The 27,118-nt window shown below is 54.3% G+C and overlaps 1 pseudogene; it reads left to right on the forward strand.

Annotated features, from left to right (window-relative positions):
* Window positions 1-27,055, forward strand: LOC388248 (Rho GTPase activating protein 23 pseudogene; annotated as a pseudogene).

Raw genomic sequence — 27,118 nt, forward strand, 5'->3', positions numbered from 1 at the left:
TCTCCTTCCACATGCATAGATGAGCCCACCAGCCCCAGCACTGACCTCCAAGCCAGGCATGTCCCTGCTTTTGCTGTGGTCTCCAGTGCCATGAACTCAGCCGCTGTCCTGGGCACCAGCCCATCTTCCCCGACCTTCACCTTCACCCTCGGACGGCATTACTCGCGGGACTGCAGTGAGCGCTCCCCACACCCCCAGCCCCACCCTTTCCCTCGCTGCCCAGTCCCAGGGGTCTCTGTTGGGTCTGCTGCTTGATGCCTGGCCTCTTCCTCTGGTTTCCGCTTCTCCTGGGGCACCTTGGAAGAGTCACCTCCTGCCCCTGCCTAGAAGGGAGGGCTCTGGGAAGCCCCTGACCTGCTGCCCCGCTGACCCTGAGGCCCGATGCGGGCGGCTTTGCAGGCAGCATCAAAGCTGGCCGCCGCTCCTCCTACCTGCTGGCCATCACCACGGAGCGCTCCAAGTCCTGCGATGATGGACTCAACACCTTCCGCGACGAGGGCCAGGTTCTGCGGTGAGGCCCTGTCTGGACATGGGGTGGGGTGGCCACAGCCACCCTGGCCAGCTGCTCTGGGGCAGGGCTTTTGGCCTTGGGGGTCCTCTATGCATGGGACAGTGTGCCTCCCCCGCTGGAAGGCTTCTGGGCTTGGGGTTTGGTGGGTGACGAGATAGTGAGGTCCCAGCTTTGCTGCCCACATCCCTCACCCTCCACCCTTGCTTCCCAGGCACCTGCCAAACCGCATACCCAGCCTGCCGTTGCTCCGGAGCTTCTTCACAGACGGGGTGAGTTGCAGGTCTGTGTGTGTGCGCAGGAGTGAGGGTGTGGGGAGAGAGGGTGTCAGGGAGGTGGGGCCACAGCCTCGGCATGGGGGTTCCTGCTCCAGCTCCTGCCTTCCCCCTCCTCCCTGCACCCCTCACCCTTGTGTCCACCGCGGGACCAGCCCTCTGCTGTGGGCCCCGACATCCCTGAATGACACCATGCAGCCCCACCCAGGGGCCCCCGTCTGGACTGCCTCTTTCCAGACCCATCCCCCATAGCCACACGACTCACTTCTCCACTGTCTTTGCAGCTTTTTAGGTCTTCCCTGAAATTCCAGCCTCCACTCCTGACATTTCATGCCTCCCTTCGCTACTCTGTTTTCCTCCTCAGCACGCCTCATGCACAATTGGTGTTTCTCTTCCTCCCTGCCTGGCTCCCCAGCTAGAATAGAAGCTCCCCGAGCTTATATTTGGGGCTTCATTTGTTTCCTTCACTACCCTGAGTCAGTATTTGCATCGCGTCTTGTCTTCATGGGATGGGGTCGGGGTGGACACTGGAAAGGTGTGGCCTGGACACAGGGTTGAGATTGGTGGACAGGTGGAGTTCCCAGCCTCAGGACCTGGGGAGGCAGGATCAGGCCTGTGATAGCCCTGGCTGTTTGTTTGTTTTGAGACAGAGTCTCACTCTATTGCCCAGTCTGGAGTGTAGTGGCATGATCTTGGCTCACTGCAACGTCCACCTCCTGGGTTCAAGCTATTGTCCTGCCTCAGCCTCCCGAGCAGCTGGGATTACAGGCGTGTGCCACCACACCTGGGTAATTTTTGAATTTTTAATAGAGACTGGGTTTCACTATGTTGGCCAGACTGGTCTTGAACTCCTGACCTCAGGTGATCCACCCACCTCGGCCTCCCAAAGTGCTGGGATTACAGGCGTGAGCCACTGTGCCCAGCCCACTTACTGCTATTTGAATTTTCTGCCCTGCCTTCTGGGGTCTTGAGGGTCCCTGGAAAGAACATAAGCTTTGAAGCAGACAGACTTCGAGTTCCTATCCAGCCACATATCAAGCACATGGCTTTGGGCACCCCACTTACCTTCCCCGAGCCTCACTTTCTGATCTGTACGATGGGAACAATGTTATCCTACCCCAAGGGCTGCTGTGGATTAAGTGAGGGTGAAGTCGAGGCGGGACTGATGCGCCTCCGTGGAGAATGACTAAGGCCTCCCTGCTCGGGAGCCTCTGTGGAGGTTCTGGGGAGTTAGTGGTGAGGGAGCCAGGGCAGCCCTGCCCTCCTGGGGCTCCTGTTGCTCCTGTTGAGCGGAGAGAACGCATGTGGCATCATGGTTCCAAGTGCACAGACTGCCGTGATGCCCGGGTGCAGGGGCAGGTGGGCATGGGTAGGGAGGTATCCAGAGGCTGAGACACGAAAGGATGAGAAGCCACAAAACTGGGAGACAGTGGAGGGGCCTGACAGGGAGGATGTCTCCTTAGAGGGTCCTGGGGAGAGGTGGGGAGAGGTGTGCTGGGAGCCAGGGCGAGAGGTGGAAGATGAGCTGGGGAATTGGGCGCCTGCCCAGAGTGTGGGGCCTTCATACCCAGAAAGAGCCTGTCCAGGGTTTTTTTATTTTATTTTATTTTATTTTATTTTATTTTATTTTATTTTATTTTATTTTATTTTATCTATTTTTGAGACGGAGTTTCACTCTGTTGCCCAGGCTGGAGTGCAGTGGTACGATCTCAGCTCACTGCAACCTCCGCCCCCCGGGTTCAAGCAATTCTCGAGCCTCAGCCTTCTGGGTAGCTAGGACTACAGGCGCCTGCTACCACACCCAGCTAATTTTTGTAGTTTTAGTAGAGACTGGGTTTCACTATGTTGGCCAGGCTGGTCTCGAACTCCTGACCTCAAGTGATCTGCCTGCCTTGGCCTCCCAAAGCGCTTGGATTACAGGCGTGAGCCACCGTGCCCGGCTCTGTCCAGGGTTTTAAATGTGGGCTGGGGCTGGCAGGAGACTGGGGTTATGTCTGTGACAGGAGGAGCCAATCCCATTGCCCTTGTCCAGGTGAGTGAGGGTGGGGGCCCCGACCCAAGGCAGTGGTGTGGGGCTGTGTGGAGCGGACACTTTAGAGAGAGATTCCATGGGAAGGATGGCCAGGGCTTGCCGGCTGCTGGGAGGTATGGAAGGAGGAGGAGGCGATAAGGTTCCTGGATTCCTGGCTTGGGCTGAGGGAGGGTGGTGGGTGGTGAGACCCTCCCTGGGCCATGGCACACTGGAGGAGCAGGTTTGGGGAGAGGAAGCCAGGTGGCTCCACTGGGGCTATGTGAGTCTGAGGGCCCTGGGACAGACCCCAGTGGAGATGTCCTGGGGACAGAGGCTCTGAGGGCGTGTTACTAGAGGGAGGCCCACCTGGGGACAGCCTTTGTCTGTCAGCACCCACGAGTTACATATGCCTCTGTGCAGGGGCTTGAAGGAAGAAGGCAAGAGACCTGGCTGAGCCTTGAGAGAAGTGGGGGGGTCGGGGAGGCCAACAGAGACCAAAAAGAGCCAGCAAGTTGGCAGCGACCCGTGGGGTGGGAGCCATGAGGCAAGGAGGGACCAGCCACGTGCACTGTGCGAGGAGAGCCGCAAGTGGGCCAGCCCTTCCAGTCTAACGTGTGAGCCACATGAAGGGTCCTTGTGAGGGTGGCTGGTTCCCCCTGCTGGGGGGCCTGACCCTCAGCTCCTGGGGGCCCTGAGCCCAGTTCAGGGACAGGAGCTGTCCCCTTCCTGCTCACTGGCCAGTTCTGGAGGACCAGGCCTCCACTCCCTTGCTGGCCAAAACCCGATGTCACTTGTTCCTTTGGTGCCGTGGCCTGGACGTTAGAGGACAGTCTTCAAGTCAGCCTCAGGCCCTTGGTCCACCCAGGCCGTGGGCACCCTCTCTGTGCTCCCTCCCAGCCCCAGCCTCTTTCAGAGACACGGACTGTCAGGCAGAGGAGGGAAAGGGACAGTGACTTGTCCCCGCAGCCTCAGCCCCAGCATGGGAGCTGCATGCAGCCTTGGTGACCAACTCCCTCACTCATTTACCAGCCGGAGACACTGAGGCCTGGGAGTGCGGTTGACTTGTCATAGGTCATGCCGCTGGTTTAGCCTCAGAGAGGTGCCCTTGTCACCACCTCACTGTCACATTAAAATTCTCCCTGGAGGGCTCTGCTGTCTCCTACTCTGAATGTCCCTGTCCCCCTCCAGCAGTTCTGTGATGAGCAGGGCTCACAGCTCAGGATCCACATGATGGGAGGCCAGATGTGGGCTGTGCCCATCTGCCAGCCACGGGATCTCTTTGTCTGGTTTGTTCGGAGAGCTGAGGCCTGTGCTGGATGTGGAGCCACCAGCCAGCAGAGAGGAGCTCTTGGTCTGATGGGAGATGGAGCTCCTGCCCTCAGGGTGCTCCAAGGATCATTAATTCATTTATTCAGCAAATATTGATGAGCGCTTGCATGCTGCTGTAGGCCCTGGGATATGGAAATGAGAGGACGGACAAGCTCCCTGTCCCCAGGACAGCCTGAGGCTGCAGTAAGTTCTTGGAAAGGATCAAGCTGATCAGAAGCGGGAGCTGCATTGAGGGAGAAATATGGCCAGTGAAGGCCTCGCTGAGGAGGTGACATTGGTGATGCTGGAGTTCAGATCTGAAGGGGAAGAAGGAAGCAGCCACATATAGAAGTGAGGGAGGGGGGCTTAGGCAGAAGGAACAGCAAGCGGAGAGGCCCTGAGAAAAGAAAGGCTTGGCTCGCTCACCTGCAAGGGCCCCCTGGCTTGACATAGTGAGAAAGGTGTGAAGATGAATTTGGAGAAAGGCAGGGACAGACCACAGGAGACTTTAGATTTGATTCTGAGGGCGATGGGATCTCTTGAGAGGATGCTGAGCAGGGGAGAGATGTGATCTCCTTTTCATTCTAACATGATCGCTGCAGCTGCTGCTGGAGAATGGATGCAGGAGCAAGAGTAGAGACTGGGAAGGTCTGTGCATTCTCCAAGCAAGAGGCGTTGATGGCATGGAAAGATGTCTTTCCTCTGGCAGGAAAGACAGAGACAGGGGATGTTTTGGAGGCAGAACAGTTGTGACTTCCTGATGGATGGGATGTCAAGGGCGAGGAAAAGGGAGGAGTCAAGGGCAGCTCCCAGGTTTCTGGACAACTGGATGGATTGACTGAGCTGGAAAAGATGGGGGTAGAGAGTGGAGAAGAGGTTTGATGGTAAGAAATCACATGGCCTGGCAAGTATTGTGCAGAGTGCCCATGGGACCTGCAAATGAAGACACTGAGCAGGGTGGGGGTGCCGGGCTGTGGCTGGGGGAGATGCTGGGCTCGGGAATGGCCATCAGCAGATGGACCTGGTTTAAAGGCACGGCACAGGTGACATCCTTGAGGGAGGTGTGCAGGGAGAGGAGAGGAGGGGAGAGTCAGGACAAAGTTCTGGAGCTCCGCCTCCTTTAGGGCGGGGTCTGTTACCCTCCGCTCTGCTGACATTTTGAGCCAGATAATTCCTTGTTGGGGGAGGCTGTCCTGTGCATTGCACAATGTTTAGCCGCATCCCTCAGATGCCATAGCACACCCTCCAGCTCCCTCCACACAAATGTCCCGTGGGGACGAGTCTCCTGGCTGTTTACAGGTGTAGAGGGTGGGGGAGGGGAAGTAGAGAAGACTAGGAAGGAGCCAGTGGCATTAGGAAGAAAGCCGGGAACGTGGGGTCTCAGGTGCCGAGATGGGGTCTGGAGAGGGAAGGAGGGGCTGGCTGTGTCAGATGCCGCCAAGGGGTTAAGGCAAGTTGGGGAGAAGCAGCCATTGGCTTTGGCCACATGGCGGTTCTGGGTGTCCCTGAGAGGAGCTTCTGGGCAAGTGGAGTCTTGGGTGGGCGGCAGGAAAGTGGGGAGAACAACCCTCTAAGAGTGCGGACAGCTTCTGAGCAGGTTTGCTGGGATGAGGGGCAGCCTGGGGAGGGGCGTGGGCTGGGAATGGCTTCCCGAGGATTTCATGTACGGAGGGCCATGCTGGGTGTCTGAGCATTGCCACCGCTCGGTGAGTGTTGATGCTGGTGTTTAGAGGGGGAGAGGGTTGGGGTCTGCTGGCGGGCTTTAGGGTGATGGGTAGGGGTGTCTAGGCAGGCGAGGGACTGAGAAAGCATTGGTGGGCTGTGGGCAGGAGGCTGCCCAGGTCTAGCCGGGTGGAGCAGGGGGCTCCTGGTAGGCAGCGTGGGGTCCATCCCCCGGCTGTCCTCTGTCTGCTACTGTGAGAGCAGTGGGCAGAACTGACCTCTCACCACTCCTGTTCCCCCCAACCCCGTGTCTCCCTGCAGAAAGTGGGCAGCGGCCTGCGCCAGTGGAAGCGGGTGTACGCCGCGCTGCTGGCGCGCTCGCTCTCGCTGAGCAAGGAGCGGCGGGAGCCCGGGCTGGCGGCGGCGGGGGCTGCGGCGGCCGGCGCAGGTGAGGACGAGGCGGCGCCCGTCTGCATCGGCTCCTGCCTCGTGGACATCTCCTACAGCGAGACCAAGAGGAGGCACGTGTTCCGGCTGACCACCGCTGACTTCTGTGAATATCCCTTTCAGGCTGAGGACCGGGATGACATGCTGGGCTGGATCAGAGCGATCCGGGAGAACAGCAGGGCCGAGGGCGAGGTGAGGGCCCGGCCAGCCCGGCGGCCACAGAGGGCGGGCGGGGTGGCCTCTCACCGGCTGTGGACCTGGGATGTCCGCTCTGAGCCTCACTTCCCTCTGCTAGAAAGGGGGGCTGACAGGAGTGCACCTCGTGATTGTGTCCCCCTAGGTTTCGGGGTGACGAGGGTGCAAGGGCAGGGCTCATGGAGGACCTGGCGTCCTCGGGTGCGGGGACCAGCAGTCACCATCCTGATCCTAATGATGACAGGGATTATTGTGACTGTGTTAGGATCGCCTTGAGCAGGCTCTGATGTGGAGTGGTCAGCTCCAGGCCAGTCTCAGCTTTTCTCAGCAGGCGAGGAAGGCAGGGGCCTCCTATGGAGTGTGTTAGGGCATGAGTGTCCCGGCACCAGAACTGCACTGGGCTGGCCTGTCTGCAGGAGGATGAACACATTGACCTTGTGAGGAGGCTGAGAGGCTTGGCCTTTGGCCACAGGTGGGCAGGGTTGGAGCCAAGGGCCTCGGCAGGGATTTTGGGAGAATTTTTTTTTTTTTTTTTTGAGACAGAGTCTCGCTCTGCTGCCCAGGCTGGAGTGCAGTGGCGCGATCTCAGCTCACTGCAACCTCCGCCTCCCAGGTTCAAGTGATTCTCCTGCCTTAGCCTCCTGAGTAGCTGAGACTATAGGCACATGCCACCATGCCTGGCTAATTTTTTTTTAATAGAGACGGGGTTTCACTGTGTTAGCCAGGATGGTCTTGATCTCCTGACCTCATGATCCTCCCACCTCAGCCTCCCAAAGTGCTGGGATTACAGGTGTGAGCCACTGCGCCCAGCCGAAGAATTTTTTTTTAATGGCGCCCATTGCGGTCAGCTGTAGCTACACTCCAGGGGCCTAGGTAGGGATTCCTCCCTGTTTACTTCTTTGGCCAGGAGCCTGCACAGAAGTGCCTTGAGACACCCACACAAAGTCATGTGGGCGTCCCGGGCCTGGGGTCTCTGCCAAGAGGGCAGTGGGCCTGGGCCTGCTCTGGCCGTGGGAGGGGGGGCTACTGCATGGCCTCTTGCTGAGGACACATCCTCTTGCTGACCAGGCTCTGCTCTCCCGGGAACAGCTTTCCCCACTGCAGGGAGGAAGGCACCTGGAATTTGGGCCTCCTCCTCTGGGGGCCTGGCTTGGCTGTCTCCAACAAGGCTTAGTCAGGGGGGTTCCAAGCCACATCACTATGGCAGTAGCAGTCCCTCCTGGGGCACCTCCTCCATGCCTGCTCAGCATCTGCCAGGAAAGTGGCGAGCGCTGCATGATTCTGCACCCAGCCCCGAGCCTTCCCTTTTAGCCCCCCATGTTTATTACCGAGGAGACTGAGGCTCAGAGAGGCTAAGAGGCTTCCCCAAGGCCTCAGCTGGTGAGAGGGTGCTGGGGAGTCCAGGCCTGGTCTTTCTCACTCCAGGGTCTGGGCTGTCCACCTGGCAGGTGGACAAGAGGGGAAGCAGGGCTAGGGATGAACCCAGGGGTGGGCTGGCTGTGGGCACTGACATGATCCGCTCTCTCCTCTCCTGCTTCAGGACCCCGGCTGTGCCAACCAAGCTCTGATCAGCAAGAAGCTTAATGATTATCGCAAAGTGAGGTGAGGCCTAGCCCTCATGGAGCAGTCTCCTTTGTGGGGGTGGTAGGGGGCTGAAGGCAGAGGATGTCTTCCTGGACCACCTCCAGGGCTGCCCTCTGCTGGGGGAAGGGGTATCCAGGGTATCCAGGGTCTCCAGGCTGCAGTTTGGCATGGAGGCATTGCCTCAGGGTGGAGGGGATGTCCCGAGGGGCAGGAGGCCAGGGTGGGTGGCCTGCTTGGCCACCCCAAGTGAAGACCTCTCCTCTCCCGCTTTTTCCTACACAGCCATAGCTCTGGGCCTAAAGCTGATTCCTCCCCCAAAGGCTCTCGCGGCCTGGGGGGCCTCAAGTCTGAGTTCCTCAAGCAGAGTGCGGCACGTGGCCTCAGGACTCAGGACCTGCCTGCAGGGAGCAAGGGTAGGAAGGTGGCCACTGAGACAGGGTGGTGTGTTGGGGAAGAGGGCATGGAGAGGGGAGAGCATGTGTGTGTGTGTTGGGCTGTGTCTGCTCGTGTGTGCCTGACTGTGTGCCAGGGTTACCGGTATGTCTGTCTGCATGTGCATGCCTGTGAGGGTCTGGGGGCTCTCAGGGTCTTGGGGTGGAAGGGCCTGGAGCCTGATTCCCGTCCCTGATATCCCTGCTGGGTGGTCCTCTAATCTTTGCTGGTGTCTCTGCAGGGATGAGAGGCCCACCCTTTCCAAGAGCAACCTTTCCCATTTCCCTCACCTTTGGCTATTAGAAAGTTCTTACCTGGCTGGGCAAGGTGGCTCACACCTGTAATCCCAGCACTTTGGGAGGCCAAGACAGGCAGATCACCTGAGGTCAGGAGTTCAAGACCAGCCTGACCAACATGGCGAAACCCCAACTCTACTAAAAATACAAAAGGCCGGGCACGGTGGCTCACGCCTGTAATCCCAGCACTTTGGGAGGCCGAGGCGGGTGGATCACAAGGTCAAGAGATCGAGACCATCCTGGCTAACACGGTGAAACCCCATCTCTACTAAAAAACACAAAAAATTAGCTGGGCATGGTGGCAGGCACCTGTAGTCCCAGCTACTCAGGAGGCTGAGGCAGGAGAATGGCATGAACCCGGGAGGCGGAGCTTGCATTGAGCCAAGATCGCGCCACTGCACTCTAGCCTGGGTGACAGAGCAAGACTCCGTCTCAAAAAAAAAATACAATAAAAGTACCCGGGCGTGGTGGTGTGCGCCTGTAATCCCAACTACTTGGGAGGCTGAGACACGAGAATCACTTGAGCCTGGGAGGTGGAGGTTGCAGTGAGCCGAGATCACACCACTGCACTCCAGCCTGGGTGACAGAGCGAGACCCTGTCTCAAAAAAAATAAATAAATAAATAAATAAATAAAAGAAAGTTGTTCCCTTGGGCCAGCAGGCATGGTGGCTGACACCTATAATCCCAGCATCATTTTGGGAGGCTGAGGCTGGAGGATTGCTTGAGGCCAGGAGTTTGAGACCAGCCTGGGTAACATAGCAAGGTCCTATCCCTACAAAATATTTTTTTATATATTATTTATTTATTTAGAGACAGAGTCTTGTTCTGTCACTCAGGCTGGAGTGCAGTGGCATGATCTCAGCTCATCGCAACCTCCACCTCTTGGGTTAAAGCGATTCTTGTGCCTCAGCCCCCCTAGTAACTGGGATTACAGGCATGCGCCACCCCGCCTGGCTAATTTTTTTTTTTTTTTTTTTTTGAGATGGAGTCTTGCTCTGTTGCGCAGGCTGGAGTGCAGTGGTGTGATCTCGGCTCACTGAAAGCTCCGCCTCCTGGGTTCGCGCCGTTCTCCTGCCTCAGCCTCCTGAGTAGCTGGGACTACAGGTGCCCGACACCACACCTGGCTAATTTTTTTGTATTTTTAGCGGAGACGGGGTTTCACCGTGTTAGCCAGGATGGTCTCGATCTCCTGACCTTGTGATCCGCCTGCCTCGGCCTCCCATAGTGCTGGGATTACAGGCGTAAGCCACCGCACCCGACCCACGCCCAGCTAATTTTTGTATGTTTAGTAGAGACAGGGTTTTGCCATGTTGGCCAGCTGGTCTCGAACTCCTGGCCTCATGTGGTCCTGCCGGCCTCAGCTTCCCAAAGTGCTGGGATTACAAGCATAAGCCACTGTGCCTGGCAAAAAAATTTTTTTTAATTAGCCAGGTGTGGTGGTATGAGCTTATAGTCCCAGCCACTCGGGAGGCTGGGGAGGGAAGATTGCTTGAGCCCAGGAATTTGAGGCTGCATTGAGCTATGATCATACCACTGCACTATAGCCTGAGCGACAGAGACCCTGTCTCTAAAGAAACAAAGTTCTATGGCTTCCGCCTTGTAGTTTTGGCCCACGAGCCACACAGAAGTCCTTGCATTGCTCTGGGCCTCTCCTTTGGGGTAAGCATCCTCCCCTTCAGGCCTTCTCTCTTGCCATACAATGTCCCATCAGCCCTGGGCATCTGGTTTCTTCTCTGATGGAATCCCCATACGTCCAAATGTGTGAATGTGGCAGTGAATGTGTGCGACCCTCCTGGATACTCCAGCTCACTCTGGCTCTGTCTCCCCCACTTCAGATGACAGTGCTGCAGCCCCCAAAACCCCCTGGGGCATCAACATCATCAAGAAAAATAAGAAGGCTGCCCCAAGGGCATTTGGGGTCAGGCTGGAGGAGTGCCAGCCAGCCACGGAGAACCAGGTGGGTCTCTGCCACACGCCAGAGCAGGCCCGGCAGGGGGAGACCAAGGCACAGAGGGTCAGAGCAGCAAGGGACATGGAACAAGCTCTCCACCTCATTGTACAAACACAGCTGGGAAAACAGCCCAGAGAGGGGAAGGTCCCTGCCTGCCCTGGGCCTCCCAGGGAGGGAGCAGCAGGGCTGAGGCTGAGCCCGGCTCCTTCTCAGACCATGGCGAGGCTTTGGTGTCATTTGTAGCTCCCAGACTGGAGGCAGCAAGGGCCTTTTGTTCCCCCCAAGGGTTCCTGGCAGCAGCTCTGGGCCTTGCATTGTCCCCTTCTTGGCCTCCCCAGCTCCTCTGGCCCCTGTCCCCCCTAACACCCCTCCCCTGTGTCCCCAGCATGTCCCCTTAATCGTGGCTGCACGCTGTCACATTGTGGAGGCACGAGGGCTGGAGTCCACAGGCTTTTACCGAGTGCCTGGCAACAATGCAGTGGTGTCCAGCCTACAGGAGCAGCTCAATCCTGGGCCTGGTGACATCAACCAGCAGGATGAGGTGGGTGAAGCTGGGGGGTCTGTGGAAGGGGGGCTGAGATGGTGTGTGGGTGGTGCTCCGCTTGGAGAGTTCTGTGGTCTATTGTGTTGCATGCATTGTGCCCTATGACATGCCCGGCATTGGTCCAGGACACCAAGATGGGCAAGATGGGACCTGCCCCCGCTGGCCAGCCTGGGGATGGGCATCACCCCAGGCTGAAGCTGACCAAGTAAATGCAGTCATGGCCTGGGGAGCTCTGAGGCAGAGGCTCACAAACGGCAGTTTTGTCCGAGTGTTTAGGATGAGTAGAGTTCACCAAAGGCCGGTGAAAGCCAGCTGAGGGCATTCCAGGCAGCAGAATGGCCTGCGCAATGGTGTAGACGCGAAAAGTGTGCCAGGAGTCAACCAGCTTTCTCTGTAGAAGGCAGAGAGTAAATATTTTCTGCTGTAGTTTGCTCTGTTGCATTCCCCCCTTCTCTTCCTCCTCCTTCTCTTCCTAATCCTTTAACAACGTAAAAACCATACTTAGCTCAAGGGCCATCCAAAAGAAGGCTGTGGCTAGATATTGCCTACAGATCATGTTTTACAAACTGCCGGCTTAGAAAAAGGGGAATATATGATGTTTTCTAGAATGGCCAGCCATTTGGGTGGCTGCAACATGGAAAGAGAAGTGGCTGATCAGGCGAGATGAGACCAGCCTGTGAAGGAATCTGCAATCACACTTAAGTGTTTCCAGTAGGGCCGGCGATTCTCAAAGGGTGTTCCCCAGAGTCCTAGGGTTCCCCAGAGGGGCCTTGGGAGGCCAGGGTCAGGTCAGGACCCCGTGTCCTTGCTAGAGCAACCCTGCTTTGCCCTGTCTGTTGTACTGGGTTTTCACGTACAATTTTATTTGCCCAAAGGGGCTCTGATAAAAAAGATATTTTGGAAAACCATGAACATGGGCAGTGATGTCCCATGAGTCACACACGTGAAGGCTCATGGAATACACAAGTCTTCCTGTCCTTGGAGAATGAGGAGCTGAGACAAGTGTGTGTGAAATTGTGGACAGGAGAAAAAGATGATCTCTCATCAGGGACCACACTGTGATGAGGAAGGACAGGGTGCTCAGGCTGGAGCAGGTGGTGGCTGGAGGATTTGAGTATTGGAGGAATGAATAGGAGGGGGTAGGTGGACAGGAAGCCTTTCGGGGTGTGAGACGGTGGCATTTTCCAAAACCCCAGCAAGGGCCAGGGAGGGCTTGAGGGTTAGGACAGAGAGTGGATCTACCTCCTGGGCATGAAGGTGGAGAGGGTGAGGCCCCAGGGGGACAGAGAGGGCATGTGATGGCTTCACTGAAGACTTCGACCTTGATCTGATGGACAGTAGGGAGCTTTTGATGCTTCTTAAGCTGGGGAGGCATCATGAGTACAAAGTTCAAGAAAGAGTAATGCTCCTGCTCATGTCCATTGGATACGAATGCGGAGGGCAGGGGTCTGGGGAGAAGTCACTGATCTATGGAAGCGCTAAGTGTCGGGAGGACTTGGTGGTCCCGGGGGAAGGGGGAGGATGGGAGCAACCCTAAGAGTTGGCTGCATGAGAGGGAGGAAGGACGGGCGAGGAAGAGCCGCATGTTTGAGCTGGGGCTGGTGGTATCTTCCCCTGGCAGAAACCAGGGAGTAGGGCAGCGTGAGGAGAGGTGGAAGGGAGGGGCCGTCTCAGGGAGTGGCTCCATTGGATTTGGGGTATGGAAAGTCCCTTGCATGGGGCGAGGGCATAAACAGGCGCTAGATTGAGCGTGGACTAGAGAGTGGCATGGGTCCTGCTGCAGCTGGGGCATGGGATGACCAAGGGTGGGCCGCAGAACAGCAGGGGCCACGTGCTGAGTGGGACAGAAGGAGAGGACCGCCGGTGAGGCTGGGGTGAGGGCAGACACTTCACTCTGGAGGAGCCAGGAAGCACTGGCCAGGGCATTGGGTTTGGCAGCTGGGAGATGAGAGGAGCTCACACCTGAGGGCCAGGAGGTAACGGAGTCGGGTGGGCAGGAGCCGCACTGGGTGTGTGTGAGATGAGGGGGCCGTGCTGGCAGGCAACTGGTCCAAGCCAGGGCCAGCTGGGGGCATACAAGGTATATTGGGTGTGTTGTTTTGTCTTGGATATCATTGTGTCATTTGTTGTGGGTCGTGCTGGGAGTAAGTGTAGTGGGGGATGAATCTAACCCCTGGTGAGCCTGTGCGGAGTGTATTGTTTATGGGATTGTCTGGCATTAAGCTGTGGATCCATTGTAATGAGTGTGTGTACTGCTGTGCTGTGTCTCTTTGTTGGGGGTATTAGGTCGCTTTCTGGGCCTGAGTTATTGTGAGCCATTCCCAGCGAGGCGGCTGTGCCCGACTTGGTTGCAATGTGGGGTGATGCTGCCCCCTGGAGGACAGAAGGGACAACGACCCGGCCGTTAGTTCTTGTACTCAACAACCATTTATTTTAGAGTAGGGTTTCTCAACCTCAGTGGACATTTTGGGAAGAACAATTATTTGTTGTGTGGGGTTGCCCTGTGCACTGGAGGAAATTTGGAATCATCCCTGGCCTCGATCCACTAGATGAAAGTGTCACCTCCCAGTTGGGAAAATCAAAATGGCTCCAGACATTGTCAAATGTCCTCTGGGGGTGGAGTGGGAGTTTGGGGGACAAAATTGCCTCCTTCTGTTAGAACTACTGATTTAGGGCCATGTAAGTATCAGGTTAACTGTCCTAGCTAGGTGATAGGAGCACAGTGGGAAATGAGACAGACGGGATCCTGGCTCCTCCTGGAGCTTACAGTCCTGCAGGGAGACAGGCATGAACATAGAAACAAAAGCAGAAAATAATGACAAATTGGGTTAAGCGCCATGAAGGAAACAAAGTCAGGGCTGGGGTGCAGGTGACAGGGCAGTGGTGAAGGTGGCTGCTTTAGCTATGAGGGTCAGAGAAGGCCTCTTTGAAGAGCGACTTTTAGGCGGGGATGAGGAGCCAGTTGTGTGGAGGCGGGGAGGAAAGTTCTGGTTGAGGGAACCAGCACATGCAGAGGACCTGAGACAGGAAGGAGCTGGCATGAATGACTGCTGTGTCACAGATGCTTAAACTGTGTCCAGTGGAGGCAGCAGCTGCCACTCACTGTGTCCCCACAGTGCCTGGGACTTTCTGTGAATGGGGAGGTGTTGGAGCCCACGCGCTGGCAGGAGCAGGGAGGGGCTGGGGCCAAGTGTGAGTGTGGGCACAGGACCTCTCTGGGGACTCAGTTCTGCTGCCACCATCCTGATGAGTAGAGAGCTTAGTCTAAGTGGGTCCCAGGGAGGGCCTGGTGGGCTTGATTGGGCTCTGGGGTGAATGATCATGGAGGCATGGGCATTGGGCTAGGCTTGCCTGTGGCCTGACATCTGACTCCTCCCCCAGCGCTGGCAAGACCTCAATGTGATCAACAGCCTGCTCAAGTCCTTCTTCCGAAAGCTGCCCGAGCCTCTTTTCACTGCTGGTGAGTAGGAGGTGGAAATGGGGGTGGGGAGGGGACACCAGTCTGTGCCGCACCCTGACCACTACTTTTGCATTTGGTTTGTTGGTTTTACTCTTTTATTTATTTATTTTTTTGGAGACAGTCTTGCTCTGTTGCCCAGGCTGGAGTGCAGTGGCGCAATCACGGCTCATTGCAGCCTCAAGCTACTGGGCTCAAGCGATCCTCCCACCTCAGCCTCCTGAGTAGCTGAGACAGCAGGTGAACACCACCACACCCAGCTAATTTAAAAGTTTTTTTCAGAGATGGGGGGAGTTTCTCACTATGTTGCTCAGACTGGTGTTGCACTCTTGGGCTCAAGCAATCCTCCTGCCTGCCCCAGCCCCACAAAATGCTGGGATTACAGGCATGAGCCACCACGCTGGCTTTTTTTTTTTTTTTTTTTTTTAACACAAAAGCTTATTAAAAAAACATAGATTGTACAGATGTGAATAAAAACAGCACAGGACCCTGTGAATCTCCTCCTCCCTTTCACGGGAGGTTGTGGCTAACACTTTCTGAGCATTAGTGTGTGCCAAGCACAACTCCCTACAGCAACTCCATGAGGAAGGTGCTATTGTCTTCCCTCTACAGATGAGGAAACCAAGGCTCAGAGAGGTTTAATGCCTTGCCCAAGGTCACACAGGTTGTAAATGGCAGAGCCAGGATTCCGCCCCAGGCGTCGGGCTCCGATGGACTTTGGCCGTTTGCTGAACTGCTTATTCACGATCTGTTGTGTTTCTCTCCTGGCCCTCTTATATGCATGGCAGAGATACAGACGTGCCTGCGTGGGGTTTGGAGTTGGGTGGGTTCAGGGGTGTGCTGGCAGATGTTTAACATCTGTTTCTGGGAGAAAAAAGCCCTAATGCCTAGCATTTTCCAGCTTCCATGGTGTAAATACTCCTACCATGGTTTATTTCAAGCCACCAACATGATGTCACCAACATGGAATTGGGAAGAGAGGCACACAGTTGCTCTCAGGAGCTGGTGTGAGCGGACTCCAGCACACCGCTGGTTGAGTTGTTTTTAACAAAAGCAGGGTTGTAATTCTGAGATTCATTCGTGTCAGTGCAGAGAGCTCTACCTCATTCTTCTTTTAAATCAGCCACATAGAATTTCATGGTTTGAATAGACTATAATTTCTTTAAGTACTCCTCTATTGATGGATATTTAGCTTGTCTTCAAATGTTTGCTATCACACAACCTGTTGCAATGGCTTTCCTTGAATAAGTCCTTGCACGCCTGGATCTGTGCTCTCTAAGGGGATTCTTAGATGTAGAATTGCTGGGTCAAAGTCCTGGTGAACCTTTCTGAGACCAGTGTCAATTGCACTCTGAGAAAGAGGCCCTGATTTAGACTCCCACTAACAATGTAGGAGTCTGTCTCTCCACATCCGCAACAGCATTGGATATTACAACTATTATTGTTATTTGAAGGCCAGGCATGGTGGCTTATGCCTGTGATCTCAGCACTTTGGAAGGCTGAGGCGGGTGGATCACCTGAGGTCAGGAGTTCAAGACCAGCCTGACTGTGGTGAAACCCCGTCTCTACTAAAAATACAAAAATTAGCTGGGTGTGGTGGCGGGTGCCTGTAGTCCCAGCTGCTAGGGAGGCTGAGACAGGAGAATTGCTTGATCCCAGGAGGCAGAGGTTGCAGTGAGCTGAGATCGCACCACTGCACTTCAGCCTGGGTGACAGAGCAAGACTCCATCTCAAAATAAATAAATAAATAAATAATACAATAAAATAAAAATAAAAATACTATTATTTGACACAGGATCTTGCTCTGTTGCCCAGACTGGAATGCAGTGGCGCAATCATGGCTCACTGCAGCCTCAACCTCCTGGGCTCAAGTGATCCTCCCATCTCAGCCTCCTGAGTAGCTGGGACTACAGGTTTGTGCCACCATACCCATCTAATTAAAAAAAAATTTTTTTTGGTAGAGGCAGGGTCTCACTACGTTGCTCAGGCTGGTCTTCAACTCCTGGTCTAAAGTGATCATCGCTCCTCGGCCTTTCAAAGTGCTGGGATTTTAGGCTTGAGCCACCTCACCCAGACAGCATTAAATATTATTAATATTTTAAACTTTTGCTAATCAGATAAGAGAAATGGTATCTCATTATTGTTTTTATTTTCATTGCCCTCATTACTAGGGAGATTAAATCTTTTTTCATTAGCATATTGGCTGTTTCTATTTTCTCTGTAATTGCTTGATCAGACCATGTGCCCATTTTTCTGTTGGGTTGTTTATCTTTTTCTTATGTTGATTTGTGGGAGAAAAGCTCTTTGTGTTTTACACATATTAACCCTTTGTTAGTCTTTGCAAATATTTGCTTTGGCCTGCCATTTGCCTTTTCACTTTGCAGTATAGAAACTGAAAACAAATTTTTTTTTGTTGTTGTTTTGTTTTGTTTTTTGAGACAGAGTTTCACTCTTGTCGCCCAGGCTGGAGTGCAATGGTGCGATCTCGGCTCACTGCAACTTCTGCCTCCTGGGTTCAAGCGATTCTTCTGCCTCAGTCTCCCGAACAGCTGGGATTACAGGTGCCCACCATCATGCCCAGCTAATTTTTGTATTTTTGGTAGAGACGGGGTTTCACCATGTTGGCCAGGCTGGTCTCAAATTCCTGACCTCAGATGATCCACCCTCCTTGGCCTCCCAAAGTGCTGGGATTACAGGCGTGAGCCACCGCGCCCTGCCTAACAATTTTTAATTTTATTTTTATTTAATTTTATTTATTTTTTTGAGACTGAGTCTCACTCTGTCACCCAGGCTGGAGTGCAGTGGTACGATCTCGGCTCATTGCAACCTCGGCCTCCCAGGTTCAAGCCATTCTCCTGTCTCAGACTCCCAAGTAGCTGGGATTACAGGCACCTGCCACCATGCCCAGTTAATTTTTATATTTTTAGTAAAGATGAGGTTTTGCCACATTGGCCAGGCTGGTCTTGAACTCCTGACCTCAAGTGATCAGCTGATGTGCCTCAGCCTTCCAACGTGTTGGGATGACAGACGTGAGCCACCGTGCCTGGCCGAAAACAATTGTTTAAAATGTGACCAAAGCTGTTCATCTTTTCTTCATGGATTCTGCATCTCATGTTTAGGATGGCCTTAGGATTATAAAAATATTTTCTTATTTTTCCCCAGAGCTTTTATAATTTTCACAATTGGCTCTGCCGTGTGATTGCATTTGTGTATTGTGAGCTAGAAATGATCCCCCCCGTCCCCGATGGTAGCCATTTGTCCCGGGGACATCTGTTGAGGCCCCCATCCCTCCCCCCGATTGGAAGTGCTGCCTTTATCATATAATAAATATCCACATGGCCCACTTCCCCCCTTTCTAGCCTTAACATTGCTCTGCCTTTTCTGCCATGCCAGCCGGCTTCAGCTGTGCCATCCATTCAGGATGTTTCAGTCCCTGGTAGGGCAGATCCTCCCGCGTTACTCTTTCTTTAAAAACTATTCCTGGCTGTCTTTGTGCGTTAGCTCATCCAGATGAATTTCAGAATAGGCTTATCATGTTCCATTCTTTAAAGGTCCCCATGGAATTGTTCTGAAGGGAGTTGGGGGAATCCTTGGTCGAGGCTGTCTGAAGCCCCTCCTCCTCTCCAGGTGCCCTTCTCTTCTGACCTGCTGAACCTTGGTGTCCATGTCCTGGAGACGGGGGCATGGACCCCTTTTCTGCGATCAGCATGCACCTCAGGTCGTATTGCCTCCCAAATGAACACAGCTGGGCTACCCCAGGTCAGGTGCACACCCGAGTGTAGCTGTGGTGAGTGCAGCTGTGGTGAGTGCAGCTGTGGTAAGTGCAGCTGTGGTGGGTGTGTTCACATACACAAGAGGCTATCGCCCACGCTGGAGCCCCCGAACTGGAGGAGTTCAAAACACAGCCCTCCCAGCAGGGCCCTCGGCCTGGAGAACAGGGTAAGGTGCTGCCCCTACCTCTCTAAAGAGTCTCTGCTGTGTTCTAGACAAATACAATGACTTCATCGAGGCCAACTGCATTGAGGACGTGCGGGAGCGGATGAGGACGCTGCGGAAGCTGGTAAGGAGAGAGAGGTGCTGCCAGGCACGAGGTGGGGCAGCTGCCTGAGCACCTCTGTCCCAGGAGGCAGGGAGTCCGGTGTTACCCACGACCCCTGTGGCCTTGCCCTGCTCCACTCAGGGCCTCAGTTTCCCCATCCACACAAGAGAACGGGGGGTTAGAGGATAGATTCCAGACTCCCTGAGGCATGGTAGTGGGAGATCTTTGGGGCATGGTGGTGACGGGGGACAGGGGCAGGCCCTTACAGCCTGTCCCCATGCCCCTCCTCTCTCCTGCTCAGATCCGGGATCTCCCAGGACACTACTTTGAAACGCTCAAATTCCTTGTGGGCCATCTCAAGACCATCACTGACCACTCTGAGAAAAACAAGGTGGGTAGGAGTCCCGCATGGAGTCTGGGGGAGGCAAGCACGGACTTACTGTGTGGGGGCCCTCAGCATGCACTGAGCTCCTGCAGGTCCAATAACTCAGGCCCCTCTAGGCACGCCCTCCTATATGACTGCTCCGTCCGCATCCCGCTCCTACATGCTGGTCAGTGCTTTCCCCCAGAGAGCCATCTCCTGAGTTTCTGAGGGCTTTCCAGAGGCAGGGAACCCCGGCTCCCCGTATCCGATGCATTGCCATCCTCCAACTTAGCTCAAGTCCCTCGCATTGCATTTTCCTCATCAAACCCCTTATGCCTTCTGGTTCTGCAGTGGGGAAAATGAAGGGAGTGATAGGATTTTTTGTGTTTTTTGTTTGTTTGTTTTTTTGAGACGAAGTCTCACTCTGCCACTCAGTCTGCAGTGCCTTGGCACGATCTCAGCTCACTGCAACCTTCACCTCCCGGGTTCAAGCAATTCTCCTGCCTCAGCCTCCCGAGTAGCTGGGATTACAGGCACCTGGAAGTGATCGGGTTTTTTCCCAGGCCTAAAATAACCTCTGGGACCTCCAACATGTTTCCTACTGCAGGGTCTCCCACTGCTGGCACTGACCACTCAGGGCTGCCCTGTATAGGTGTGCAGGTTGGGCACTGCTCATGGCTGCTGGGCCTGGGGATGAAAGGGGCTGAAATCTGGCCTGTGCTCTACTCATCAAGCATCTCCATGCCCATACAAGGGGGTGTCCACCCTCTAAGCTGGGGACTGGTGAGGATGTAGTTGGGGACAGAGGCCTTAGGGGCCAGAGTGAGGGAGGACTGAGTTCAGGATGTTGACAGTGACCTGCTTTCCCTGCTGCCCAGATGGAACCCCGGAACCTGGCCCTGGTCTTTGGGCGGACACTGGTGAGGACGTCTGAGGACAACATGACAGACATGGTGACCCACATGCCTGACCGCTACAAGATCGTGGAGACACTGATCCAGCACGTAAGCCCCTGTTCCGGGGGTCACCCGGCAGCCCCTGGGGCCCAGGCCATGTTCCTCTGAGCCCCTCACTCTTGCTCAGCCTGGCGGGGTGTGCCCCAGGAAGGGCTCGGCAGCTTTAGAGCATGCTGCTAGGGTGGTATATACTCCTCCAAAGCCATGGGCTGCATTTCAAGGCAAGGCAGGAATGGATCCTGGAATCCTTGCTGCCCTGGGATGTTGTGTCCCCAGCAGGAGAGTCAAGAGGCCCCCGAGCGTCCAAGATGCCTGGGAAAGGCAGAAGAGGAGGAAGGGCAGGGAAGGTGCTACAGGTGGAGGGCGGAAGGGGCAGCTTCAGAAGGTGGCCCCTGGAGAGGTGTCCTGGCAGACACGAGCAGACGGGGGCCAAGGTCTGGCCTGACATCAGGAGGCCCCGGCTCTAGTGACTTTCCCTGCTGGCCCCACTGAGGTTTTGGGGAGGTAGTGGTGATGTCCATGGTAACAAGGGGTGGATTGGGCAAGGCACAGGGCCTTGGCCTGAGGCAGGATCCTGCACCAGTGCTTGGCATGTACTGGGCTGGCCACCTCCCTTCTCATGGCTTCCTGGATGCCAACAGCCCTGGTCCTGTAGGTTCTTGTTACTGTGCATGGGCGGAGGAGAACCCAGAGTGGCCAGCAGAGGGCTCAGGAGGCCTTGGTCTTCCAGAGCCGGACCCTAAGGCAGCACTGCCGCCTTCTGGGGCACACACAGATGTCATTATGAATCATAGATTTTCCATTTCCAATTCTTGTTACAGCCCACAGAGGATGAGAACAGAGCCCCTCCTGCCAGGGGAAATAAGACTGGCAGCTGGTCAGAGGAAGGGAAGCCTCAGTCCCAAGCCCCCTAGACACTTTAGGGAAGGAAAGCTGGGCCCTATCACCCCCATTTTACAGAGGAGGAAACAGGCTCAGAGAGGCAAAGCAACTTGCTCATGGTCACACAGCTAATAAGTGGCAGCCCAAGATTTCAAGCCAGATCTGACTGACCAAAGCCTGTGTTTTCCTCCTGCTATCAACCCAAAGGCCAGACTCCTAGGTCCCTCCTTGAGCTGGCTTGGGACGGAGGGAGGGGGCCAGGGTAAGGACGCAAGGTGGTGGGCAGCTGAGCCATGTTAACAGCCTTGCTTGCCCATCTCCTCCTTCACTGCATGCTCAGGGCTCTGAGCCACAGGAGGGAGCATCACAGCCTGCTGCATCCGGACACTGGGAACACCACTCCAGAGCTGTCTGGGAGGCCAGGGCTGCCCTACAGCGTCGGGGATCCTGGTGAGGCCTTGGGAAAGCTTAGCTCTCCAGGGCACCAGGGAGCCCCGGAACCTCCCAGGAGGGTGTGTTTTGGGGGCAGCAGCAGGGAAGAGTGGGTGTCTGGCCCTGTGCTCCTGGAGAAGCCCCTGGAAGCCCAAGGTCTGAGGTCAGCTGAGGTGTCAGGAACTGCAGCCTTCAGGGAGGAAGGAGGCCAAAGCCCCAAGGGGGAGTCCCTGCTCTGGGCAGGGTGGAGAAGGTGGAGTTTGTCTCATTTAGCACTGACACTAGCGCCTGGCACACAGTGGATACTCAGTGTTTGTGGAGTATAAATGAATGAGTAAATTGCTAATTGAGGTTATATCAGGCTGGGCTTTTCTTTCTCTTTCTTTCTCTCTCTTTCTTTTCGCTTTCTGTTTTTTTTTTTTTTTTTTTTTTTGTTTTTTTTTGATAGAGTCAGTCTGTCGCCCACACTGGAGTGCAGTGGGCAAATATGGCCCACTTCCAGGCTCAGGCGATCCTGCCATCTCAGCCTCCTGAGTAGCTGGGACTAGAGATGCCACCACCACACCAACTGGCTAATTTTTGTATTCTTTTGTAGAGATGAGGTCTTACTATGTTGCCAGGGCTAGTCTTGAACTCCTGGACTCAAGCGATCCTCCATCTCGGCCTTCCAAAGTGCTGGGATTACAGGTGTGAGCCATCACGCCCGGCCAGGCTGGGCTTTTCTACTCAGAGATTCATTCCCGAGAGCTAACTGAGCTAGTGTCCTTCCCTTCTCTGCCTCCTTGGCATTTGAACGTAACCAGCCCTGGATGATTGTCAAGGGAATGAGCCACCCACTCTGCAAGCCCTGAAAGCCTGCCCACCCAAGCGTGCCAGCTCTGTCTAGCCCAGAGGCTCCATAGCCAGGGCAGTGCTGCTGTCACTTGGGGCACCCAGACCAGTCTTCAGGTCGGAAAGAGGGTGGCAACTGAGGGGTAAAGAGGAACAGCGACTTGCCCAGGGCCACGCAGCAAGATAATGGCAGAGCAGAGAGGAGAGCAAACCTGGATGTCTGATCTTGCAGCGGGCAAGTTGCCAGGAGCCTCTACCTATGTTTACGAAGTCAAGTGGAACCCAAACAAAGATCACCCAGGGCATTTGCTCAGGGACTCACTCAGCAAAGGCAGTGACACCTAATGTTTCTCAGCTTCAGCACTAGTGACCACTGAGGTCCAGATAAGTCTTTATTGTGGGAGGCTGTTCTGTGTGTTATAGGACATTTAGCAGCATCGCTGGCTTCTACCTGCTGGATGCTGGGAATATCACTCTAGTTGTCAATCAAAAATGTCTCCAGACATTGCCAAGTGCCCCCTGGGGTGGGGGATTGACGGCAGTGGCTCTAGGGCCAGCCTGCTCCTATGTGCTGTGTGGCCTTGGACAAGTTCCTTACCTGCTGTGCCTCAGTCTCCACACCTGTAAAGTAGAGATGACAATACTGTTTACCTCACATTGTTGTGAATGTCTGCTAAAGCACTCACGGTGGTGCCTGGCAGGTCCTAAGTGTTGTGTGAGAACTGACTGTCATCCTCTTCCTCATGGTCATTATTCCATGCCAGAGACAGATCCCCATGCTGGGAACATGGAGGTGAATGGGAGCCTGCTCAGAAGGAATATTGCCAGCGGGTGTGGTGGTGCGTGTCTGTGGTCTCAACTACTTGGGGGGCTGAGGTGGGAGGCTGCAGTGAGCCGAGATTGTGACACTGCACTCCAGCCTGGGTGACAGAGTGAGACCCTGCCACACACACACAAAAAAATCCATAAAATGATGTTTCTCATTCATTTATTCATTTAATAATGTTTATCAGAGTAAGAGCTGCATCTCTTTTTGCTCTGGGCTATGTCCAAGGAAGCCCCACAGAAGGACCCACCCTGGCCCTGGGTGCAGGGCTGGGGTCGTAGTCATGGAGTTCTTGAACTGCCTTAGAGGACCATGATGAGAACTTAGCCAGGCAGAGCAGGGAGAAAGGGCATCCCAGGCGGAAAGAACAGCATGTGCAGAAACAGGGTGGCAGGAACTAGTGTGGATTCCTCTTGAGAGCCGTGGCCACCCAGGCACTTCCTGTAGACGCTGTGGCTTGCAGAGTACTTCTGGGCACCTTCCAACCTGAGTTAACAGCTGGCTTCTTTGGGCCGATCCTCAGGCTCCCCCTGGTCAGCCTGTCTCTGGAAGCCGCACTTTTGAATAACGGTAGCTGACATCTATTATACATTAAAAACGTGCTGCACTCAACGTTTTCCATACAGTATTTCATCTCAATCCTCCTCAGGCCTAGAAGGGGGTACTCACATCATGCCCATTTTAGAGATAAGTAAATAGACTTACAGAGGGAAAGTAACTTAGCTAAGGTGAACTCGAACCAAGATAACTGACTCCAGAGCTTCCATTTTTCTTTTTCTTTTCTTTTTTTTTTTTTGAGACAGAGTCTCACTCTGTCGCCCAGGCTGGAGTGCAATGGCGCGGTCTCCACTCACTGCAGCCTCCGGCTCCTGGGCTCAAGTGATCCACCTCAGCACCCCCAAGTAGCTGGGATTATGGGCGCATGCCACCATGCCGGGCTAATTTTTGTATTTTTAGTAGAGCTGGGGTTTCACCCTGTTGACCAGGCTGGTATTGAACTCCTGACCTCAGCTGATGCACCTGCCTCAGCCTCCCAAAGTGCTGGGACTACAGGTGTGAGCCACTGTACCCGGCCAGAGCTTGCATTTTTCTTATCTTCCTTTGCTCTCTTCTCTTCTGTCTCTTTCTTGTTTCCCTTCTGGCCTTCCTGTGCTGTTTGATTTAATCACATGTCAGATCATGAGCAATAATAACTGAGGCTCATGGCGCATGCTCGGCAAGTCCCCTTGTTTCCCCTCTTTATTCCCCTAGGTGCCCACTCTTAGTAGGCTAATATGTGTCCTTCCAGGACACCTTCCACTTATTGTAAATGCATGGCTATCCTTAAATGTATATAATATTCTTTGTGTGTTTTAAGTCTACATAATGAGATTATAAATTGCCTGTTCCTGTTCTTTCATAGGTGTTGAGGGGGGTAAAGGGTAATTGCCTTAATTTTTATTCATTTTTTTTGAAATGGAGTTTCACTCTTGTTGTCCAGGCTGGAGTACAGTGGTGCGACCTCAGCTCACTGCAACCTCTGCCTCCCGGGTTCAAGTGATTCCCCCACCTCACCCTCCCGAGTAGCTGGGATTACAGGTGTGCACAACCATGCCCAGCTAATTTTTATATTTTTAGTAGAGATGGGGTTTCACCATGTTGGCCAGGTTGGTCTCAAACTCCTGACCTCAGGTGATCCACCCACCTCAGCCTCCCAAAGTGCTGGGATTACAGGTGTGAGTCACTGCACCCGGCCTGTCACTGTCAATTTCTAATGCTTATCAGTTTCTGTGTCTTCCTTCCACCACATCTAAAAGCCAAAAGTGGTGGGTGCAGTGGCTCATGCTTGTAATCCCAAAATCTACAATTTTTTTTAATTAGCTGTGCAAGGTGGCACATGCCTGTAGTCCCAGCTATTCAGGAGGCTGAGGTGGGAGAATCTCTTGAGCCCAGGAGTTCAAGGGTACAGTGAGCTAGGATCATGCCACAGCATTCCAACCTGGATAACAGCGAGAGACCCTATCTCAAAAATAAATTAATAAATACAATAAAAGCCAAAAGTGCCTTAGTTATTTCTTGGAGCTTGCCGAAGTCCATCTCTTTACTTGCTCAAGTATTCAATTAAGAGAGTCTTTGTGTAAAAAATTTTCTGCTGTCTCAGGATAGCTTTATTTCAAGGCCAGGTGTGGTGGCTCCAGAAAGCAGGAGGTTCACTTAAGGGGTGATTAAAACAATCTGTGGTATGCCTGTAATCCCAGCACTTTGGGAGGTGGAGGTGGGTGGATCACTTGAGGTCAGGAGTTGAGACCAGTCTGGCCAACATGACGAAACCCCATCTCTACTAAAAATACAAAAATTATCCAGGCGTGATGGCATGCACCTGTAATCCCAGCTACTTGGGAGGCTGAAGCCAGAGAATCACTTGAACACAGGAGGCAGAGGTTGCAGTGAGCCAAGATTGCACCACTGCACTCCAGCCTGGGTGACAGAGTGAGATTCTGTTGGAAAAAAAAAAAAAAGTATAGCTTTATTTTACATTCTCATTTTTTTAAATGAGAGTTTAGCAGGGTATAAAATTCTAGGTTCCTTCAACACATCAAAACTTACTTTCTTGTCTTGTCTTCTTGTGTCTTGCTGCTGAAGGTTCCAAGTACCTGTGATACGTGTTCATTTATAAGCAATCTGGATTTTTTTTTTCAGAAAACTTAGAATTTTATCTTCAAGATTCTCAAATTTTACAAAATATATTAAACTGTGGGGGGTCTTTATTTTGTCTCTTGTTTGGCCTTTATGAGAAAGCTCTCGCCTCCTGCCCCTCAGGAAACCTCCAACACCTTTCTCCTGTCATTTTCCTTTTCTTGGCTGAGTATGTGACATCCCTGTTGTCAGTGTGGCACCCATGGGTGGCAGGTGGCCTGGGGCATGCTCGGCTGTCACAGCCATGGACCTGGCCAACACTAACGGCACTGGTGCCTCCCTGCCCCTGGCTCGCTGTGGGGAGTATACCATAGGGGTGTGCCCAGGACAGTGTTTAGAGAAAAGCAAGTAAAAGCGAAGCTCTCCCTAAGCCTATCTCCTGTCTGAGGTGGCCGCTCCCACTCACTGCCGTGTCTCCTCCCACACTGGGGTCCCACCTTTTCTCTCCCCCAGGGTTTTTCATAGTCTGTGGAGTCAGGTTTTAGCGTCCGTCAAGCTCCCTCTGAGCCCTCTTTTGCAGCCCCGCCAGCCAGGGGTTTGTTGAGAGAGAGGCGCCCCTTGCCGCCTGAGTGGGTCCTCTGGAATGAGCAGGTGGAAGAGACTCTTCTTTCCCATGCTGATTTCATCCCTTCCTTTTGTCTTCTCTGCAGTCAGACTGGTTCTTCAGTGATGAAGAGGACAAGGGAGAGAGAGAGTAAGTGATGCCGCGGAGTGGGCTGGCATGGGGGCTGGTCTGGGGTGAGCCCCAGTCCTTGGGGGTGGGGCAGGCAGCGAGACTTAAGCTGGGGAAGGTGTCTGTCCTTGAGGCTTCCCTCAAGTCTGATGGAGGAAACACAGACCCTCTCCTCAGGAGCCCCTAGTCTGATAGAGAAGCACAAAGCTTGCCTTCAGGAATCCCCAGTCTAAATGGGGGAGATACAGGCCTTGCTCAGAGGGAACCCAATTCAGGAGTAAAGGCAGCTGCTGCCCTCCAGGCTACTGAGAAGGACTTAGGTTGGACGAGTTCCAGTCTAGTGCGGGAGACACAGCTCCTGCCCCTAGCTGAAGGGGCCGCTCTGGCCTTCGTGGTTCTGAGATGTTGAGGAAGGCACAAAGCTGTCTAACAGGGGACATGTAGGAATCATCCTCAAGAGCACCCGGCTGATGAGGGAGACGGTCCCTGCCCCAGTGAGCCCGGTCTGATGGAGGAGACACGGGCTCTGTCATCAGGGCACCCCCCTCTGGGGGGTCGGCAGCCCAGCATCCAAGGGCATGCCAGCTGACCCCTCCTCCTGTTCGCAGACCCCTGTGGGCAACAAGGAGCCTCAGGCAGTGCCCAACATTGAGTACCTCCTGCCCAACATTGGCAGGACAGTGCCCCTTGGTGACCCGGGGTCAGGTGAGCACAGGGGCCTGGGAGTGGGGAGGCAGGAGGGTGGACACTGCATTCCTGAGGGTCCCA

The sequence above is a fragment of the Homo sapiens genome, chromosome 16 (assembly GCF_000001405.40).
Source record: "Homo sapiens chromosome 16, GRCh38.p14 Primary Assembly".
Classification (NCBI taxonomy): domain Eukaryota; kingdom Metazoa; phylum Chordata; class Mammalia; order Primates; family Hominidae; genus Homo; species Homo sapiens.